This window comes from Homo sapiens, chromosome 1 (genome assembly GCF_000001405.40).
Source record: "Homo sapiens chromosome 1, GRCh38.p14 Primary Assembly".
NCBI lineage: Eukaryota > Metazoa > Chordata > Mammalia > Primates > Hominidae > Homo > Homo sapiens.
In genome coordinates, this window is record NC_000001.11 from 36080012 (window position 1) to 36099666 (window position 19655).

General features: G+C 55.4%; 3 protein-coding genes and 1 pseudogene across 8 annotated transcripts in view, besides 7 other annotated features; 2 read left to right on the forward strand and 2 right to left on the reverse strand.

Annotated features, from left to right (window-relative positions):
• LOC100128093 (magnesium transporter 1 pseudogene) lies at positions 309–1323 on the reverse strand (annotated as a pseudogene).
• On the forward strand, positions 4083–8264 carry TEKT2 (tektin 2). Of its 4 annotated transcripts, none has more exons than XM_005270753.3 (10): positions 4083–4519; positions 4859–5066; positions 5152–5277; positions 5825–6030; positions 6693–6836; positions 6920–7034; positions 7193–7300; positions 7428–7571; positions 7717–7796; positions 7962–8264. In XM_005270753.3, the coding sequence occupies exons 2-10, from the start codon at positions 4911–4913 to the stop codon at positions 8173–8175; spliced, it is 1293 nt and encodes a 430-aa protein (XP_005270810.1). In that variant the 5' UTR covers positions 4083–4519; positions 4859–4910; the 3' UTR covers positions 8176–8264. The 4 variants fall into 4 exon arrangements, with proteins under 4 accessions (XP_005270810.1, XP_011539560.1, XP_016856544.1 ...); XM_011541258.4 differs by having other exon boundaries at positions 4083–4308; XM_017001055.2 differs by having other exon boundaries at positions 4083–4189.
• Positions 4653–5451: an enhancer, noted in NCBI's record as "H3K4me1 hESC enhancer chr1:36550265-36551063 (GRCh37/hg19 assembly coordinates)". NCBI's record gives its function as "activates a minimal SCP1, AML or CMV promoter by ChIP-STARR-seq in naive H9 embryonic stem cells {active_cell/tissue: H9 hESC(naive)}" and the evidence as "EXISTENCE:reporter gene assay evidence [ECO:0000049][PMID:30033119]".
• Positions 8384–8969: an enhancer, noted in NCBI's record as "H3K27ac-H3K4me1 hESC enhancer chr1:36553996-36554581 (GRCh37/hg19 assembly coordinates)". NCBI's record gives its function as "activates a minimal SCP1, AML or CMV promoter by ChIP-STARR-seq in primed H9 embryonic stem cells {active_cell/tissue: H9 hESC(primed)}" and the evidence as "EXISTENCE:reporter gene assay evidence [ECO:0000049][PMID:30033119]".
• Positions 8699–8788: a silencer, noted in NCBI's record as "silent region_652". NCBI's record gives its function as "represses an Ori minimal core promoter by ATAC-STARR-seq in GM12878 lymphoblastoid cells {active_cell/tissue: GM12878}" and the evidence as "EXISTENCE:reporter gene assay evidence [ECO:0000049][PMID:35858748]".
• Positions 8881–13921, forward strand: ADPRS (ADP-ribosylserine hydrolase). Of its 2 annotated transcripts, NM_017825.3 has the most exons (6): positions 8881–9104; positions 11233–11329; positions 11607–11814; positions 11899–12083; positions 12411–12511; positions 13086–13921. In NM_017825.3, the coding sequence occupies exons 1-6, from the start codon at positions 8894–8896 to the stop codon at positions 13373–13375; spliced, it is 1092 nt and encodes a 363-aa protein (NP_060295.1). In that variant the 5' UTR covers positions 8881–8893; the 3' UTR covers positions 13376–13921. The 2 variants fall into 2 exon arrangements, with proteins under 2 accessions (NP_060295.1, XP_011539938.1); XM_011541636.3 differs by lacking the exon at positions 11233–11329.
• Positions 8899–9328: a silencer, noted in NCBI's record as "silent region_653". NCBI's record gives its function as "represses an Ori minimal core promoter by ATAC-STARR-seq in GM12878 lymphoblastoid cells {active_cell/tissue: GM12878}" and the evidence as "EXISTENCE:reporter gene assay evidence [ECO:0000049][PMID:35858748]".
• Positions 8899–9554: a biological region, named in NCBI's record as "H3K27ac-H3K4me1 hESC enhancer GRCh37_chr1:36554582-36555166".
• Positions 8970–9554: an enhancer, noted in NCBI's record as "H3K27ac-H3K4me1 hESC enhancer chr1:36554582-36555166 (GRCh37/hg19 assembly coordinates)". NCBI's record gives its function as "activates a minimal SCP1, AML or CMV promoter by ChIP-STARR-seq in primed H9 embryonic stem cells {active_cell/tissue: H9 hESC(primed)}" and the evidence as "EXISTENCE:reporter gene assay evidence [ECO:0000049][PMID:30033119]".
• The window catches only part of COL8A2 (collagen type VIII alpha 2 chain), a 29984-nt gene continuing 25556 nt past the window's right edge, over positions 15228–19655 (reverse strand). For both annotated transcript variants that reach the window (NM_001294347.2, NM_005202.4), the window contains exon 4: positions 15228–19476. In NM_001294347.2, the coding sequence (NP_001281276.1) occupies positions 17558–19474 (1917 nt within the window). In that variant the 5' untranslated portion in view covers positions 19475–19476 and the 3' untranslated portion in view covers positions 15228–17557. The remainder of the gene's footprint in view (positions 19477–19655) is intronic.
• Positions 17463–17971: an enhancer, noted in NCBI's record as "H3K27ac-H3K4me1 hESC enhancer chr1:36563075-36563583 (GRCh37/hg19 assembly coordinates)". NCBI's record gives its function as "activates a minimal SCP1, AML or CMV promoter by ChIP-STARR-seq in naive and primed H9 embryonic stem cells {active_cell/tissue: H9 hESC(naive and primed)}" and the evidence as "EXISTENCE:reporter gene assay evidence [ECO:0000049][PMID:30033119]".

Sequence of the window (19655 nt, forward strand, 5' to 3'; positions counted from 1 at the left end):
TTAATATTAACTAAGGTACTTTTAAACATTGTAAAACATTGTTCTGATTCGATGAAAGTTGTACTCTCTAAAGATTTTAATAATTGGACTTGAGGTAATCTATAACACTCGGGGAGAAAAATTAAGAACAGAGAAGATACATACCATAATACTTGACAGATTTTGAAAGCACTTAAAGCACTTATGGTCTCTTTTGGTGAAATCTCAATTACTTTAAAAAGCTATGAGTTTGCATTTTTCTGCTTCACATTTTTTTTTTCAAATTTCTTGCTTCATTGTCTATGTCTGTAGGATCCTTTTTAATCCCAGACAAAGCTGTATGGATAGTCAGGTACTTTAAATCTAAAGAGGGAAAGCAGCCGACTGAAGAATATGGCAACAAGACACATACCAGCCAGACACATCATCTTTCTCTTTCTGATGTTCATCGTAGAGGTGGCAGCCTTGTCTAACAGCACCATTCCCAGGCTAACACACATATTAAACAGGGAAATAATGAATGTTTCTGCTGCAAACTGAGCCTGACTAAATTTACTGATATAATGTTTATGTCCTGTGTGAGGGTCCCTTTGGACATATGGTTCTCCTCTTATATAAGTCCACATTTGACCAGACGTCATCACAATCACAAAGCACAGAGTTAAAACTTCGCACAAAATTCTGCAAGAAATAGATTTCCTATTCCATTTCAAGAAATACCCAAGTCCACCAATGAGAGCCAGAAGTATCCCTGGCTTGAGGAGACCATGATAATTTATTTGTAGGCTGTCTGATTCTGACGCTGACATGTGTTCTTTCTGCTACCCATTCAGCCATTTGGTCAGCAACAATATCCCTTCCTCTCAAATTATAAATGTCATCTGTTGTAAATTTCCATTGGGCAGAAAAGTGGAAGAAACTCGGAACTGACGTTACCTGGAGCGCTTCAAAGACCTCAGGGCTTTCATCATAATCCACCATTGCAAAAAATACCTTTGTGGTGAATGCACCAGGGCGTTGATAGGAATTTGCCAAGATCTGAAATTCTTCAGCAGCACCTTTGCACATGACACATGAACTGAACGCGTGGAGAGCAGCAGTAAGCATCACAATAACAGAATAGTTTTTTGGTGCATCTAATACAAAATGATAGAACATGGTGTCACTCATTCTTATCACTCTGTCTTTCTTGGTCCAACCCATCAGCTGGCTGACCTTTTTGGCCAACCCCTTCTTCCATCGGGAAGGATGTGTAGGAACCCCGGGAGCCACGAATAACAGGGCCACCACTATGGTCAAAAGTAGACGCCAAAGCCACCACACTTCTGCCATATTTGCTTACTTCTTTGTGTTATACCACTGTTGCAAAATATGTAAGCCAAAATTTGATCATTTCTTCCTGCAATTAATTTGTCCAAGATTTTTTTCTTTCTATCTTCTTCAATCCTGGTAAAGAGGCTATATCACAAATTCTTGTTCATGTCCAGTTTACAAGTCATATATTAGAGTTTACAAAATAACCTGTGGAAAAAAATACTCTGTAATGAAGGGAGTTTGGGAATTAGTGTTCTGGCTTCAGTCCTGCTGAACGACAGACTTGCAATTAACAAGTCAGGCCGGGCATGGTGGCTCACGCCTGTAATCCCAGTACTTTGGGAGGCCAAGCTGGGCAGATCACCTGAGTTTGAGTTTGAGACCAGCCTGGCCAACATGGTGAAACCCCGTCTCTACTAAAAATATAAAAATTAGCCAGGTGTGGTGGCGCATGCCTGTAGTCCCAGTTATTCGGGAGGCTGAGGCAGGAGAATCACTTGAACCCGGGAAGGAGAGGTTGCAGTGAGCCAAGATCATGCCACTGCACTCCAGCCTGGGCAACAGAGTAAGACTCTGTCAAAAAAAAAAAACCAAATAAAACAAAACAAAAAAAAACAACCCCAATGCCTGCTAGGCAGCAGCTGGATCCACTGTGTACACCTCAAACTGCTCAAAAACTGCTCAAAAGCCAACCTCATCCCCCAATTGCCTACCAAGCCCTTGCTTCTCTACTGTTCTTCCCATCCCCCCAGTGACGTTTTACAACTGAAGGACCCTTCTGGGACTTCTTTCCCCCTGGGCCCAACTGCCTGGGTTTCAATCCAGGCTGTACCACTTGTTAGTGATGTGACCTGGGCACGTCCTCACTGGCCTATGCCTCAGTCTCCCTGCCTATAAAGTGAAGATGGTAACAGTACCCACCTCATAGGATCCGGTTCAGCAGAGTCCTCAGAACAGGACCAGGCCTGCACACCTGTCTTCCTCTCTATCCCAGCCCCCCATGAGAGGCAGTGTGGAGCACAGCAGAGTGTCCTCTGGGTGGGGCCAGAACACCTGGGTTTCCCTCCCTGCTTTTTAGCAGTGTGTCTCTTTTGTTACCTAAGAAAGTGGGGACAATGCCCACCTCACCTATTAGTTGTGAAGATTAAATGTTAATATTTTTCCAACCCCTAGAAATACTAGGCAATACCAGACAATACAGTACTAGACAATAAGACAAACATGATTTTTTTTCCCTTCTTTTTTTAAAGAAATGGTTGAATATTGAGCATTGCTTCTCTGGTTTTTTTGTGTTTTGTTTTGTTTCATTTTGTTTTTTGAGACAGAGTCTCGTTCTGTTCCCCAGGCTGGAGTTCAGAGGCGTGTTATCAGCTCACTGCAACCTCCGCCTCCCAGGGTCAAGTAATTCTCCTGCCTCAGCCTCCCGAGTAGCTGGGATTATAGGCGTGTGCCACCAGAGCATTGCTTCTCATACCCCAGTTACCTCTCTCAGGGTTGTGCCCTCTCCAAACATGATTATCATCCCTTTATCATTCCTTGTATGACCTTCAAGATGGGCAAAGTTGTTGGGCAAGACAGAATAGAAGAAATGTTGTAAACAACATTAACTATCCATCCATTGCTGGAGGGGACCTGCTGGGGAGTGCACCTGATTTTAATTTTAATTAATTAATCTATTTTTTGAGATGGAGTCTCACTCTGTCACCCAGGCTGGAGTGCAGTGGCACCACCTCAGCTCACTGCAACCTCTGCCTCCAGGCTCAAGTGATTCTCCTGCCTTAGCCTCCCAAGTAGCTGGGATTACAGGCACCTGCCACCACACCTGGCTAATTTTTGTGTTTTTAGTAGAAACAGCGTTTTACCACGTTGGCCAGGCTGGTCTCCAACTCTTGACCTCAGGTGATCCACCTGCCTCAGCCTCCCAAAGTGTTGGTATTACAGGCGTGAGCCACCTTGCCTGGCCAAATTTTGTATTTTTTGTAGAGATGGGGTTTCGCCATGTTGCCCAGGCTGGTCTCCAACTCCTGGACTCAAGCGATCCACCTGGTCTCGGCCTCCCAGAGTGCTGGGATCTCAGGCCTGAGTCGCTGCGCCCAGCCTACTTTTTCTATGTACTGTTCGTTTGCTGGCAACTACTATGTTTCTGAGGCTGACCTCGAAATCCTAGCCTCAAGCGCTCCTCCCGCCTGGGTCTCTGGAGTAGCTGGGATTACAAGCGTGAGCCACTGCACTTGGTTTCGTATTTTCTATCATGTCTATGCATACCTTTATCAAAATAAAATTGTTTAGGCCGGGGCAGTGACACATCTGTAATCCCAGCATTTTGGGAGGTTGTGATGGGTGGATCGCCTGAGGCCAGGAGTTTGAGACCAGCCCGGGCAAAATGGTGAAACCCTGTCTCTACTAAAAATTTTTTTTTTAATTTAGCCAGGTGTGGTGGCACGCGCCTGTGGTCCCAGCTAACTCGGGAGGCTGAAGTGGGAGAATCGCTTCAGTCGGGGAGGTTCAGGCTGCAGTGAGCCGAGACTGAGCCACAGCACTCCAGCCTGGGCGACAGAGCGAGATCCTGTCTGAAAAGACAACAAATGTTCATTTAATTTGTAAATCAAGTGAAAGCGCTGCCCTGATGCCCCCCACCTCTCCCAGGCTCGGCCGGCCGCCCCTCGCCTACCCTAAAGGCCTCCGGGGACGCCGCCCGACGCCGCCGCGGTTGCCAAGCGAAGCGCCCAGGCCGCGTTGGCCGCGGGGGGTTGGGGGGGTAGGGGAGGGGTGGTTGCCTAGCAACCGGTGGTGCCAAACACTGGAGCTCAGAGCGGGGGGCGCGGAGAGCGAAGCGGGAAAGGAGGTAAGGGAGCTAGGGAAGCGGGGGCGCCCCCTTCCTCCGCGCTGGACCGGGGTACTGATCTAAACCAAAGGCGATCATCCTGCGGAGGGGAAGAAAGGGGTTTGACGGGGAACCGGACTGACCCCAGCTCTTCCCACGGGGCTCTCCCTGTCCGGCCTTCCCCTCCAACAGTAGGCGAGGGCGGAGGGGCGGGAGGGCGTGGCGGCTACCAGACGGGGAGGGGGCCGCCCCGGGGGCCGCCCCCCAGCTCCCCAGTGCCAACAGGCACGCGTCCCTGGAGACAGAACAGGGCTCCTGCCCTTAGATCCCCCACGGGGACTGGCCCGCAGCCTGGGGAAGAAAGGAAAGGAAGATCAACAAGGCATGGTTGGCTGGGGGCAGGTGTGGAAAATGCATTAAGGGCAATTTTTTTCTGCCATCCGCCTACCCCCCAGGCATTTGGCACTTCACACACACTTCGAGGCTTCCGGGACTCCATTATTCCTTTTTACCTGCTCCAGGACCTGCAAGGTCCAGGGGTTTGTGTCCGCCTGGGGACGGGAGGGAGGGAAACTTAGTTAATACCTCACACAAAGTTGAGTAAAGCAAGGGCTGTCTCCAAGCAGGCTTCCAGCAGGACAGGGCTCAGAGCAAAATGGACAGGAACAAGTCCTGCGCAGGGGGCGTGTGATCCAGGAGGTCTCCGGAAAGGTCTCCCGCAGCAGTGTTTTCCCTCTGCAGGTGGTGTCTGTGAACAGGCCTAGGGGTTTCTGACCCTTCTGGTTTCTGTGCCATGGCCACGCTGAGCGTCAAGCCAAGTCGGCGCTTCCAGCTGCCCGACTGGCACACTAACAGCTACCTGCTATCCACCAATGCCCAGCTGCAGCGAGATGCTTCCCATCAGATCCGCCAGGAGGCCCGGGTGCTCCGCAACGAGACCAACAACCAGGTTGGGGATGGGAACTCAGCTGGGTGGGCAAAGGGATAGCCCCCAACCCCTTGACACCCTCTCTATCTGGCTCTGTCTCTCTCAGACCATTTGGGATGAACATGACAACAGGACTCGACTGGTGGAGAGGATTGATACTGTCAACCGGTGGAAGGAGATGCTGGACAAGTGTCTGACAGATTTAGATGCCGAGATCGATGCCCTGACACAGGCAGGGATCCAGGACTGGGTGCCCGGGGGCTGCTGCCGAAACCTCCCCTCCTTCCCCACAGCTAGGTTGAGAAGCCCTTGATGGGGGGTCATGAGTGGCATGTCCATCCGAGTCACTGGCCCCCTGCTAAAGTGGGGACAAGCGCTACTTCCCCATGGATGGCCCCACCAGCACCCCCGCCCACTCTTTTCTTTTCTTTTTTTTTCTTTCTTTCTTTTCTTTTTTTTTTTTTTTTTTTTTTTTTGAGACAGCATCTGGATCTGTTGCCCAGGCTGGAGTGCAGTGGTGTGATCGTGGCTCACTGCAACCTCCGCCTCCTGGGCTCAAGCGATTCTCCTGCCTCAGCCTCCTGAGTAAAGTAGCTGGGACTACAGGCGTGCGCCATCACTCCCAGCTAATTTTTGTATTTTTAGTAGAGACGGGGTTTCACCATTTTGGCCAGGCTGTTCTCGAACTCCTGACCTCAAGTGTTCCATCCAACTCGGCCTCCCGAAGTGCTGGGATTACAGATGTGAGCCACCGTGCCCGGCCGCGCCCTCTTTTCTAGATGAAGGAGTCAGCAGAGCAAAACCTGCAGGCCAAGAACCTGCCTCTGGATGTGGCCATTGAGTGCCTGACCCTGCGGGAAAGCCGGCGAGACATTGATGTGGTGAAGGACCCTGTGGAGGATGAGCTGCATAAAGAGGTGGAGGTCATCGAGGCCACCAAGAAGGCCTTGCAACAGAAGGTCAGCCAGGCCTTCGAGCAGCTCTGGTAAGGGAGAGGCAGGTCGTCCGCATGTTCATGGGCCCCTGGAGGCTGTGTGCCTTCAATGTGGAACACAGGTATTGTGGATGAGGAGCAACTGGCTCTCGTGCTACATTTTGGCCCTCTGGTGCCTGTGACAGAAACCACTAATCAATTGTAGCACTCTTCCCACTGCCTGGACATGGGCTCAGAATACTTCTCACGACCCTGCCCTGGGCAGCCGGTATCCACTGATTGGAAGCATGAGAGGTGACACCCATTTGCCACCACCCCTGAGTAGCTCCTGTGAGTGTGTGTGTATGAGCCTTTGTGAGCGCAGCTACATCCGTGTGCCCCGCAGGTGTATAGGGCTCATGGGGGTCAGCATTTCCACTCGATTTTCATCCTGCGGGTGTGTAGGACGCGTGGGGTCAGCATTTTCATCCGATTTTCATCCTGCGGGTGTGTAGGGCACGTGGGGGCAGCATTTTTATCCTACGGTGTGTAGGGCATGTGGGGGCAGCATTTTCATCCAGCTGTGCTGCTCTTGGTCTCAGTGGCTGAAGCTCCATTGTCTTCTGCTGGGAAGGGTCACCCCAGCCTCCTCTTCCTGTGGTGTCCCTTTAGTACAGTGAGGCCTGCCTCTGGCCCTTGGGGGATGGTCCTGATGGAGTCTGCGCTTTCCCCAGCCTCTTGCAGGAAGTCCAACAGCAGCTCAACTCCGACCATCGGGGCAAAATGGAGACACTAGAGATCGACAGAGGCTGTCTCTCTCTCAACCTCAGATCCCCAAACATCTCGCTGAAGGTTGACCCCACACGTGTACCTGATGGGTAAGAAGAGTGTTTCAGCCAGTCTCTTCTCCTCCCCTCCCAGGCCACACCCTCATGACCCCCATTTTCCCTGCCACCTGCAGCTCCACCACACTCCAGCAGTGGGATGACTTCAGTCGGTTCAACAAGGACCGAGCGGAGGCTGAGATGAAGGCAGCCACAGAGCTGAGGGAGGCCACTGCTCTAACTATTGCTGAGGTGACAGGCCACCCACAGCTAATGGATGGTCCCAGTGTGCGCTCAGCCCTTATCTTCTGTTCCCTGCTGTGCATGTGGCCCCCTGCCCCTCGCTTGAGTAATATCCTCAGGCAGCCCTGAGTGTAGACCCTCCCCTTGCCCTGTGTTTTCTCCTTCAGACCAACAACGAGCTTGAAGCCCAGAGAGTTGCAACGGAATTTGCCTTCAGGAAGCGGCTGCGGGAGATGGAGAAAGTGTACAGTGAGCTCAAGTGGCAAGAGAAGAATGTGAGCATCTCCAGGGGCCTGGACTTCCTGCTGTGGGATGAGAAGCCGCATGCCCCCGCCAGGAGGCACTGGACCAGGCATGCACGTGAGTCCAGCAGGTGGAAACCAGTCACTCTGTCCCCTGCAGACCTTGGAGGAGATCGCTGAGCTGCAGGAGGACATCCGGCACCTGGAGGAGGATCTGCGCACAAAGCTCCTGAGCCTGAAGCTGTCCCATACCCGGCTAGAGGCCAGAACCTACCGGCCCAACGTGGAACTCTGCCGGGACCAGGTGAGAGGGTGTCCCAGTGGCGCACGGGCCCCCTAGCCAAGGTTTTCTCATATTCCTGATGGAGCAAGGGCACTGCTGTCAAGGGGCAGCACTCAGGTAAAGGACAGTGTGGCTGACTTGGAACTCCCAACCCCTCTGCCTCCAGGCACAGTACGGCCTCACCGACGAGGTTCACCAGCTAGAGGCAACCATCGCTGCCCTGAAGCAGAAGCTGGCGCAAGCACAGTAGGTCTCGGGAGTGGGCGGAAGGAGCAGTGAGACGCTGCCCACAAATGGGGCCTCTTGCTGGCTGCTGGCTCCCTGGGGCTGTCTTCCTGACTGAAGGCTATGCACGCAGCCCAGGCCTCCCAGCCTCATGGGGGCTGGGGGGTTGTCAATGTCCTTCCCTAGGGACGCACTGGACGCCCTGTGCAAGCACCTGGCCCGGCTGCAGGCTGACATTGCCTGCAAGGCCAACTCCATGCTGCTGGACACCAAGTGCATGGACACACGGCGCAAGCTGACCGTGCCTGCTGAGAGGTTCGTGCCTGAGGTGGACACCTTCACACGTACCACAAATAGCACCCTGAGTCCACTCAAAAGCTGCCAGCTGGAGCTGGCCTAGCCTTGGAGGACTGCAGGAGGAGGGCAGGGTTGGGTGGGCAATGGAAGGAGGGAGGAGAGAAATGAATGGAATAAATGCAGAGGATCTCAGGCCGGCTGTTCTCTGCCCCACTGTATGTAGCCAGCAGGGAGAGGGTTCTTGAACACCCTCCTGTCTATGGAGGAGCAAAGATGGGGAACACTATTCCTCCGAACTCCATGTACCAAATCCAGTTCTTTCCCTCCCCTCAGGGCACCCCTCTCTGGGCTGGGTCAGCACTCCTGGGCTGCAGCAGCGCGGCCTCTACCTGGCTGTGTCCCAGTTGGCCCCTGGTCCGCCCTCCTGATGCTTAAGGGAGGCCCACAGGGGGCAAGGGCCCGGTGGGAGGGCTTGGGGGTGGTCCCGGCCTCGGTGGGGAGGGCCGGCTGGGGGTGCGGAGTTAGGGTTGCTCGCCTGCGGAAGGCAGTGTGGGCTGCAGTGATCCAATGGTCTGGCTCAGTGCCCATCCCCCGGAGACCCCATAGTGGCCTTCCCACCCAGTTAGCCCAGTGGTGAGGAGCGGAAAACCGAGACTCAAAGCACAGGCTGGCGGGAAGTGCGCGGCGCCGCGACTCCGGGCCGCTGGGCGGCGCTGTGGGCCTGGCGGCGGAGTGGAAACTCTAGGCCCCAGGGAGCGCTGCGGACGGAAGTAGGGAAACTGTGAGGGCGGCACCGGAAGTGGCGAGCAGTCTGCGCGCGGATGGCCGCAGCGGCGATGGCGGCAGCGGCAGGTGGAGGGGCTGGCGCGGCCCGCTCCCTCTCGCGCTTCCGAGGCTGCCTGGCTGGCGCGCTGCTCGGGGACTGCGTGGGCTCCTTCTACGAGGCCCACGACACCGTCGACCTGACGTCAGTCCTGCGTCATGTCCAGAGTCTGGAGCCGGACCCCGGCACGCCCGGGAGTGAGCGGACAGGTGGGCGGGGCCGGGCGCAAGTCAGAGGCCGTGCGGGAGGGAGGCCGAAGGGGCGCGGAGCCTCCGGGGGCGACGGGTCGGGGGTGCGCGGGGATGAGGCTGCCGAGGGCACCGGGGCCAGAGCCGGATGACCCGCAGACAGCTTGAGCTCAGCGAGTGCCAGTGCGATCTCCGGCCTTATAGACGTCTCGCCCCGAACATCCCGTGCTCGGGGCGTGGCAGCACCGGGGCCTCAACCGTGCAGGGTGTGGATAAACCCATCGTAAGTTGAAAATACCTGAAGTGGAAAGTGCGCTTTCAGCTTAGACGACCGTTTTATCTGGACGCAGCCCCATCGGACGTCGAGGAGCCTATGAATGCGTATCAGCGTTATCAGAAAGCCGAAAAAAACTTAAGTTGAACCATCCTAAGTCGGGGACTGTCTGTCCACCCTTGCCGACTTGACCTCTTTTTCCCGGTTCTCTAGAGTCAGTATACCACCAGCCCGTTCTCCACCCCGCAAGGCGTGCTTTGGAAGCCTGACTCTAATCGCGTCCTCCCCTGCCTAAAACCCTGCTGTGATTTCCCATTACCCTTAGTACAGAGCCACATTCCTTAACGTGTCCGACGTGGTCCGGCCCTCCCACACGTCTGCAGTTTCGTTTTCCGCCAGCCTTGGCCTTGCTTTCTGCTCTTCGGTTCCTCACACCATGATTCCTCTAGGCCAGGCGTTTGCATGCGCTGTCTCGCCTGTAAAACTAACTTCCCTTCCCTTGTGGGCTCAGATCCCGGCTCAGGTAGCAGGTGTGAGGTCAAGCAGAGGAGGTGAATCTTCTTGGAGAGCAGGTAGCATAGTAAGAAGAAAGGGCCATGGTCAGAACCCTGGAGAACACCGGTAATTAAGAGGGAGGGAGGGAGGGAAGGGGATTAGGGAAGGAAACAGTTTGATAGGAGGAGAAGCAGGAGTGGCTATCAACGAAACCTAGGAAAAGAATTTCAAAATGAAGACACTGATCACTGGTGGTGTGCTCCAGAGAAGTGAAGTAGGAGGAGATCTGGATCCAGAAACTATCATTTTCAATCTGGGTATGGTGGCGCACACCTATAATCCCAGCTACTCCAGAGACTGAGGTGGAAGGATCATCGCTTAAGTCCAGGAGTTCGAGACTAGCCTGGGCAACATGGCAAGATCCTGTCTATAAAAAAGAAAAACAAAACAAAAACAAAAAGACTGGAGCTGCAAGGATGGCAGCCACAAGGGGATGGAAGTTTTCTTTCAGAAATCAGAAGATCAAACCATGATGTAGGCTCATAATAAATAAATACATAAAATAGAAAGCAGCAGGACTGACTTGGAATAAAGAATTGCTGAAAATCCCATTGCTGAGATCCTAAGGCTTCCCAGGCCCACGAAAGTGAATGGGAGTGAGAAACTGATTTGAGGTCATTTTAGATGTGGTAACTCTGAAACATGAGTAGAGGCTGGGTGCCGTAGCCACAACTGTAATCCCAGCGCTTTGGGAGAGTCCACTTGAGCCCAAGAGTTTGAGACCAGCCTGGCAACAGGATGAAACTCCATCTCTACAAAAAAAAAAAAAAAAAAAAAAAAAAGCCAGGCGCAGTGGTGTGCACCTGTAGTCCCAGCTACTCGGGAGGCTGGGGCAAGAGGCTCCTTGAGCCTGGGAGGTCGAGATGGAGTGAGCCATGGTCGTACCACTGCACTGCAGCTTAGGCAACAGAGTGAGACCCTGTACCAAAAAAATAATAATATAAACTAAAATAAAAGGTGAGCAGGGCCAGGCACAGTGGCTCAGGCCTATAATCCCAGCTCTTTGGGAGGCCAAGGCAGGAGGATTGCTTGAGCCCAGGAATTCAAGACCAGTCTGGACAACAGAGTGAGACCCTGTCTCTACAAAAAAATAAAAGTAGCTGGGTGTGATGATGCATGCCTATAGTCCCAGCTACTTGAGAGGCTGAGGCAGAAGGATAGCTTGAGCCCAGGAGTTCAAGACTGCAGTGAGCCATGATTGCACCAGTGCACTCCAGTCTGGGCAACAGAGCGAGACTCTGTCTCCAAAAAAAGCAAAAAACAACAACAAAAAAAACAAAGGTGAGCAGGAGGCTCTCATCCTCCCTCCTCTCCCCACAGAAGCCTTGTACTACACAGATGACACAGCCATGGCCAGGGCCCTGGTGCAGTCCCTGCTAGCCAAGGAGGCCTTTGACGAGGTGGACATGGCTCACAGGTGAGGGGGATGGTCCTGGGCTGAGGCAAACCAGGTGGGAAAGTTATTGCACCCCTTGACCAGAGGAATGACATTTGTGCATGTCCACGCCCCCAACCCTCCACAGAAGCCTGTGTCAGGCTGGCACAGCTTCCCAAGCTAAAACAGCAGCACTGCTGGTGCAGGCTCCTTAGGCCCCCGAGGCTTTCTCTTTTTCCAAACTAGCCTCGATTTCTTCTCTCCCAACCCTTAGAGGCATCTTGTAAATCTGAATTCTGTCTCCCCTTCTGTTCCCTAGATTTGCTCAGGAGTACAAGAAAGACCCTGACAGGGGCTATGGTGCTGGAGTAGTCACTGTCTTCAAGAAGCTCCTGAACCCCAAATGTCGCGATGTCTTTGAGCCTGCCCGGGCCCAGTTTAACGGGAAAGGCTCCTATGGCAATGGAGGTGCCATGCGGGTGGCTGGCATCTCCCTGGCCTATAGCAGTGTCCAGGATGTGCAGAAGGTATTCAGGGCGGGCTGGCTTCTGGGCTGTCCCCTTCCTCTTCTGCAGCAGGGCTTCTGTGACAGCAGGTCTCCTCCTCCCTAGTTTGCCCGGCTCTCGGCCCAGCTGACACACGCCTCCTCCCTGGGTTACAATGGCGCCATCCTGCAGGCCCTGGCTGTGCACCTGGCCTTGCAGGGCGAGTCTTCCAGCGAGCACTTTCTCAAGCAACTCCTGGGCCACATGGAGGATCTGGAGGGTGATGCCCAGTCCGTCTTGGATGCCAGGGAGTGAGTATGGGGCTGGAGGTGTGTGGTGTGGGTATGTGGGTGATCCAGGGGGCCTCTGGCATTGCCGCAAACTGTAAACCTTCCTCAATTGCAGACCCTAGGGAGGCATGGGCAGAAGCCCCTTTATCTTGTCTATGTTTCAAGGCTCTCAGGGTCCCAGAGAACGAAACGACCTGCTCACCCCAGCCCTCTCCCACCTCTTGTCGGCACCTGTGCCTGGCTGCCAGCCTGACCACATCCCTGCTCGTTCTCACATGCAGCCCTCTCCCCTGCCCGCGCCACCACCCTGCTAGCTCTGACCTCCCTGAAATCTCCCCTAAACCACAGGTTGGGCATGGAGGAGCGTCCATACTCCAGCCGCCTGAAGAAGATTGGAGAGCTTCTAGACCAGGCATCGGTGACCAGGGAGGAAGTGGTGTCTGAGCTAGGTGAGTGGGTCTGCCTGGGATTGTCTCTCCCTCTGTCGTCCTTCAGGGTCGGTCTTGGGCTCAGGGGAGCATGGAGTCATGCCTGCCGTCGCATTGTACCCTGGGCTGCTGTGACACGGAGTCAATGGCAGGGTTGAGCTCAGCGCTTCTTGCTCTGAAGCTACAGCACCCTCAGCCTTGTGGACCAGTGTCCCCAGAAATGGCAGCTGGCCACTAGTCGTAAAAATGTTGATAATGGATTTTATTTGTCTAGCATCTATACTGGGCGTTGTGCAGAATGCTTCACAGACACGATCTCGCTTCATCCTCACAACAGCCCTGTCAGAGAGTTGCTAACGTTACTCCCTGTCTGCTTAAGGAGTTGAATCTGGGAGCAGGAAGCTTAGCGGTCCCCTAGGTAACTCTCCCAGTCACGCAGCCAGTGTGTGGTGGAGCCAGGATTTGAGCCCAGGTGGTCTAACTGTAGAGCCTGAGATCTTAGTCACAGCCTGCTTGAAGCCGAGAGTGCTGACTTGTGTCAAATGGTAGGAGGCCTGGGGAAGCATGCAGCCCCTCTAACCTGGCTTCCCCACAGGGAATGGCATTGCTGCCTTTGAGTCGGTACCCACCGCCATCTACTGCTTCCTACGCTGCATGGAGCCAGACCCTGAGATCCCTTCTGCCTTCAATAGCCTCCAAAGGACTCTCATTTATTCCATCTCACTTGGTGGGGACACAGACACCATTGCCACCATGGCTGGGGCCATTGCTGGTGCCTACTATGGGATGGATCAGGTGCCAGAGAGCTGGCAGCAAAGCTGTGAAGGCTACGAGGAGACAGACATCCTGGCCCAAAGCCTGCACCGTGTCTTCCAGAAGAGTTGATGAGGGCTACAGCTGTTGGGGCTCTGCCAGGTCCCCTGGGACCAACTACAGCTCCAATCAGAAACCCTGCGCTTCCTTGAGTGTGGCTTCCCACTTTTCCTGCATTGTGGAGCTGACTGAGTACACCGGTGAGGCTGGGGTCTCTGCAGGGGAGGTCACTGGAACAGCGAGCAAGGGACTGGTGCCTCGCTGGTGCTGGGTCTCTGGTTTGCTGCAGAGCCGTAGGACACTCCTGGCTCCTCAGTAGGACAGACAGACGCAGGCGGGTTTATTTTGGAGGGGTACTTGTGGCATTTTCCTGTATTGTCTTGGACATGGGATGTGGGGAGGTGGAAATGATGAGCAGTAGCATCATTTCTCCCTGTTGGGTTTTAGCCAGTTTGCCAGCAAGCGCATCCTAGCAGGGTCCCCGAGCAGCAGGTTGTGTGGATGAAGGGACAGGCACTTGCATCCAGCTGATCTAGGTCACACCTGGCTCTTGGCTGCCATGTGGCTTATTAACAGCTTCCAGTGGAAGTCGCAATAAACAGTTTTTGGTAAATCTCACCACTGTTTCTTGTTTCTCCTGCCCTGAATGGATTCTCCCCTGCCAGCCTGATCTCTGAAGACTAGTGCCTTTGTCTGTGCTGCACTGTCATAGAAGCTGGGGCCCCAAGGCCATGAGCTGCTGTGTTGCCAGGCACTCCAGCTGGCTGCGTGTTCAGCCAGGAAGGGCACAGCAGGCATGGTCTGGTGGCTTTTCCTGTTAGAGATCACTCAAAGTGGCCCAGGCTGCTGGGCCGAGTGCTTTGCCAGAGGCAGCGGGTAGGAACAAGCCAGATTTTTCTGTTCTCAGAGCCTGACTTCCCCAAACAGGAGCTAGGCCCAGCTGGGCCAGGAACAGGAACCCTGTAGAAGGATCCAGAGGGCCCTGCTATCATCAGACTACCAACCTTTGGGTGGGGAGGGCACCATCACGGGGCCCCGGGTGGACTGAGTGCCGTGTGCCTCCTCCTGTATCTTGGGACCAATCAAAAGCCTTTCCCTGCAAGGAAGTTTTACACAGCATGTTTTTAGAGATGGGGTCTCACTCTATTGCACAGGCGATCCTCCCACATGGGTTCCCAAGTATCTGAGACTAGCATCCATTCTGAAGAAGGGAAAATTGAAAGGGGGAAGATGCCTCCCCTCAAACTCCAGGGACATTCTCTGAGCATCCAGCCTCAGTGGCTAGCCGAGCATGTGCAGTCTGCAGCTGCCCTGCGGTTTCAGCACTCTCGGGCAGATCTGTTTTAGTGAAGATAGGGTTCTGGCTAGGCTGAGGACTCTTCAAAACACAGATTGCTTCAGGTCTGCCACCCAGACCCCCAGCGCCAGGGACAGATCTTTCGTGGCTGAGCATGGCAGGCTGTGAGCAGGTGCTTTCCGCCCAGGACAGCTCCCCCAGCCTGTCTTCAGCACTGGGCCTGACACTAGCCCAGCCCTTAGGAGCAAAGATTCATGATTTCATTCATAATTTGTATCAGATGTTGAAACTTGGCCCTCGGACTACTGAGCCAGCTGTCATGCTCCACTAGCCCTGAGAGCTTGCAGGAATATTCCAGTAAAGATTGAGCCATCGCCCCCAGCTCCAGCCACTACCTGCCTTTGGTTTCTTAAAATGCCTCCTGGCATTTGCCTGGCGCATGGCCTCAGCAGCTTACGAGCATCAGGCATTTGTGATGTGGTGGTGACAGAAATCCAGGTTAGGGAGCTGGTGAGGAGTGCATGATCCTTAAGAGCAGGCACACAAGCCCCAGAGAGCTTCCTGGACACCTTACAGAACCCAGAGGCTTGAGATACCTCTGTGTCAGTATCAGTTTCAGCACAGTGCTGTTTTATACAACAGGTTTTATTGAGGATGTGTCAATACAGTTAACATGGTTGCTTGTCTTTTCAAAAAGAAGTTCCATTTTCTTTGATTCCCAAGTGCATTTTTCCTGAATCTTCTGTGATACAGGGCACATGATAGGTATGTAGAGAGCTAAGCTTCCTATACCAAGTTAGAAGTGAAATGACTAGTGGAAAACATTTAAACTTTAATCTTAAAAAAAAAATAGGAATCAATATAAAAATGCACAAGGTAATGTCGTTTTCATAGTTAAAATCTGACATTGTTTATCAAAGCTAGTCAGTTAAGTGGACACCTGCAACTCAAATCCCATAAACATTTTAGAAACGCCAACCACCCCTCCTGAAAGGTTTGAGGAATGAAATTTGGCAGAAGCTCAGCTCTGTGAAATAGCTCCCGTTTTTTTTCTTGGGACCCTACTTAGTTCCGTGGGCTCCCATTGGGAGCTGATTAATTTCTGCCAATCAGAACCCATCCCTAACACATCAGATGATAGTGGCTTTGACCTAGGGAAGAAGAGGTTGAGCGAAGAACCCCCACCAGGTATGGTTTGAGAGTCCTTAGTTGGTTTTCTTGGGCGTTAGGTAGTAAGAAATCCACCAGGAACCCCAGCCAAAACCTTCTCAAGTGTCACTTGGGCAGATTTGGGTTATCATTCCTCCTTTTGAAGAAGTGAGCAAACAGCCTGCTTTGTTTGGAGAAGTTGTGGGCAGGGGAGGAGGGTTGGCAAGGAACCTGAAGGAACCCACTGCTCAGCCAGTCAGAAGTCAGCAGCCATCCTCCATTTTCAACATGGACCGCCTGGACACAGCCAGACTTGGAGCAGTGCAACGAGATCACAGACCGAATGACCCCAGTTCACACTTGGTACAAGGAGTGGGGCTGGCCTGGCGAGGGCCGAGCGCGAGGCCCTGCAGCTGCGGGGAAAGTGGCCATCTTTGCACGAGCAGGAATGTCCACCACTCCCAGCACTCATCTCAGCCTTATCCACTCCGCTTGACGTAGGGACTGAGGGGTTGGGAGGGGCATCCTGCCTGTTTCCTGCAGAGGAGCTCTGATCGGGGAACAGGGCAGAAACGTCCAGAGCCAACTCATTCCCAAGGGACCTGTTGGCACCCTTTCTCTCCCAGCCTTAGCCTCCTGGGCCCTAGTCCTGCTTAGAACAGGAAATTGGAACCAGAGGGTGGAAGGAGAGGAAGCCCCCACAGATGAACCCCTCTTGTACACACATACACCCACCATATGGTTCTTATTAAGGAAAAGGAAGTGGGAGCCGTCTTCATCCCCCAGCTCGCGTGCACCTTGTTCAGAGGGCCAAACGAGAGGTGCTCTGCCTTGGGGATACCTGGCTGGGGTGACAAGGATCCTCTTACAATTTTGTATTGAGAAAACCAGCCCAGCCCGCAGCAGGTGGAAGGGGAGAAAGGGAAGAGTGCTCATGTTTGCTGATGGTCGATTCTGCCTCCGCCACCATCTGCACTAGATACTTCTAGACACTTCACAGAGGTTGATCTTTCTGGCCTGTAGGTGTCCCAGGGGCCTCTGTGCTGCCCTCAAGCTAAACAGCCAGAGCTGGCGGGGGCAGCCCGGGAGAGACAGGGATGAACGTGAAGAGCTGCCTCCTGCCCCAGGTCTGTGCCCCAAGCCCTCACAAACTGCCTTCCCCATGGCTGCCACTGGAGCAGTGAAAGGGAGGTTGCCCTTTCCCAGGGCAACAGGCACTGTGCCCACCACGGACATGTCTGATGCCACAGCATCACCATGGGGGCTGCAGTCCTGGCAGGGTGTCCACACTCGCCACCTCGATGGTCCCCTCTTCTCCCTTCCCCTTGGAGGAAAACCCCACAGTCCTTAGTCCACTGTCATATGCTGGAGGTCCCAGGGGGAGCTGGAGGAGCCCCAGCCAAGGGCTGTGAGGGAGGCCGTGCCCCTTTCCTCCAGCAGGTGCCATCAGGGAGCCAGTGGGAAGGGCTGTCTCCCCACGTGGCGGGGTGGGGAGTTGAGCTCCCTCTCAGCTCCTTCAGGGCCCAGCAGAGGCCAGGACTCACAAGGGGCTGGGCTGTGTGCCTCAGGGCCTATGGGGTGCAGCCCTGACACTGCACAGACATTTGGGGGAAAGAAACTCAGGCCAGCCCCTTCCAGAAACAATCTCAGCCTGCATGCAGGGAGAAAGCAAGTTAGTCTCCTCGGGCCAAGGCCACGGCCGCCTCTGTTCAGCTTTTGTTTTTTTTTCCAGGAGGTTCTTTGTAATTGAAAAGGTCGCTCTACCACTAAAGGGGAGGAGGCCAGGGCAGCAGGACCCCCCCCGCGGGTTATGTGGGGCAGAGCAAGAATCCTGAAAAGGAGGAGTGGATGTACTCCGTGGAGTAGAGGCCGTTGGCCTGGTCCGACGGCATCTGCACCCAGACCTGGTCGTTGGGCCGCAGCTGGAGCACGGCCCCACCAGATGCCTGGTCCAGGTAGCCCTTCTTGTACTCATCGTAGGTATAGGTGGCCGGCACGTTGTTCTTGTACAGGGCCACCCACACGTTGGTGCCCTTGACGTGCACATGGTAAGCAAAGTAGTAGACGCCGCCCACAGGGCAGGTGAAGATGCCAGTGGCTGGGTTGTAGCCGCTGTGGCCATTGTAGAGAGTCCGGTCAAATTTCACGGGCATGCCCGAGGCGGGGAAGGGCGAGGTGAGCACCGCAGTGAAGGCCGGTGTGGCATGGGCAGACAGCTCGCCCAGCCCAAACTGTGGCTTGCCCCCCTTGCCCAGCACGGCACCCTCCACACCGCCGTTGGGCAGGTGCAAGCCTGCGATGCCAGTCTCATCGAAGGCCCCAGGGGCACCAGGGGGTCCCGGGGGCCCGGGAGGCCCCGGAGGGCCCGTGATTCCAGGGGAGCCAGGGACCCCTGGGGGCCCCGTGGGCCCAGCCGTGCCAGGTTCCCCTGCTCTCCCCTCTCCAGGGGGCCCTGGCAGGCCTGGTTCCCCCTTCAGGCCCGGCAGGCCTTGGGGCCCAATAGGGCCAGCTGGACCCTGGAGTCCTGGGATTCCTGAGGGACCCCTCAGGCCAGGCTGCCCAGGGAGCCCCAAGTCACCTTTCTGCCCCAGGGCTCCTGCCACCCCTGGTCCTCCAGGGCGACCCGTGAAACCCGGCTCACCCTTGGGCCCAGTTGGTCCAGGGGGTCCATGGGCCCCAGGAAGTCCCCTCTCACCTGGGACCCCTGGTTTCCCAGCCAGGCCACTAGGCCCCTGGTCACCTCGAATGCCAGGCACTCCTGGGGGTCCTCCAGGCCCTGCCTCACCCTTAGGCCCAGGGGGCCCACGTCTGCCAGGAAGCCCTGCAGACCCAGGAAGTCCAGGGGGACCCCCAAGACCCTGTGGGCCCTGCTCCCCTGGCTCCCCATCCTCCCCTGGCTCACCCCTGTCCCCCAAGAGTCCTGGGACCCCAGCTGGGCCCCTGTCCCCCTTGGGGCCTGGCAGTCCTGGCATCCCATAGCCAGTGGGGCCTATCAGCCCAGGGGGGCCCCGGGTCCCTGGCTCCCCTTTGGCCCCTGATGGGCCCTGTGGTCCTGGCAACCCTGCTGCCCCTGGGACTCCCACACCGTCTACTCCAGGAGGTCCTTTTGGGCCCACAGCTCCTGGCTCCCCCCTGGGGCCTGGAACTCCAGGAGGCCCAGACTCACCCTTGTCTCCTGGGGCCCCAGGAAGCCCATCCAAACCAGGTTTGCCTAAGCCAGCTGGACCAGGGAGGCCGGGGGGGCCGGGGGCACCCCCCTGCCCTGGGGCCCCAGGCAGCCCGGGCTGGCCCACTCCATTATCCCCCTTGAGGCCTCGATCACCTGGGGGCCCAGGCTCCCCCTGGGGCCCTGGTTCCCCCTGGAATCCTGGGGGCCCTGGCACCCCTTGGGCACCTGGTTTTCCAGGGATAGTAATGCCTGAGGGGCCCGGGAGGCCAGGGGGTCCTGGGGGTCCCCGGAGGCCCTGGTCCCCTCGTATTCCTGGCTCCCCCCGAAGCCCCGGCTGCCCTGGTGGCCCGACCTTGCCAGGGAGCCCTGGGGGACCAGCCTTGCCCATCCGGGAGAAGCCAGGGGGCCCAGCAGGGCCAGGCTGCCCATGGAGTCCTGGCTTTCCCATGCCTGGTTTTCCTGGGAAGCCAGGGGGGCCAGGGGGACCCCGAGGCCCGGGCTTCCCAGGGGGGCCGGGCTCTCCCTTCAGGTCCATCGGCAGCAGCGGTAGAGGCATTTCTGAGAAAGAAAGAGAAAGGGGCAGTCAGGGGCCTGAACTGTGGGGACAGGGGACCCCATCTACCCATTCCCCCATTCCAGTATGAGGTACACGGGAGAGGAAGAATGGGGCTGCCCCTTCCTGCTCTCATGGAAGATGGGGTTTGGGGGTGGCCCAGGGGACATCTTGGGGGCAACAG

Coding starts and splice junctions, on each gene's coding strand:
- TEKT2 (XM_005270753.3), top strand. CDS start 4,911: ATGGCCACGCTGAGCGTCAAGCCAAGTCGGCGCTTCCAGCTGCCCGAC. Junction 5,278..5,824: donor AGATCGATGCCCTGACACAG/GCAGGGATCCAG, acceptor CCTCTTTTCTAG/ATGAAGGAGTCAGCAGAGCA. Junction 7,797..7,961: donor CAGAAGCTGGCGCAAGCACA/GTAGGTCTCGGG, acceptor GTCCTTCCCTAG/GGACGCACTGGACGCCCTGT.
- ADPRS (NM_017825.3), top strand. CDS start 8,894: ATGGCCGCAGCGGCGATGGCGGCAGCGGCAGGTGGAGGGGCTGGCGCG. Junction 9,105..11,232: donor GCCCGGGAGTGAGCGGACAG/GTGGGCGGGGCC, acceptor CTCTCCCCACAG/AAGCCTTGTACTACACAGAT. Junction 12,512..13,085: donor GGAAGTGGTGTCTGAGCTAG/GTGAGTGGGTCT, acceptor GCTTCCCCACAG/GGAATGGCATTGCTGCCTTT.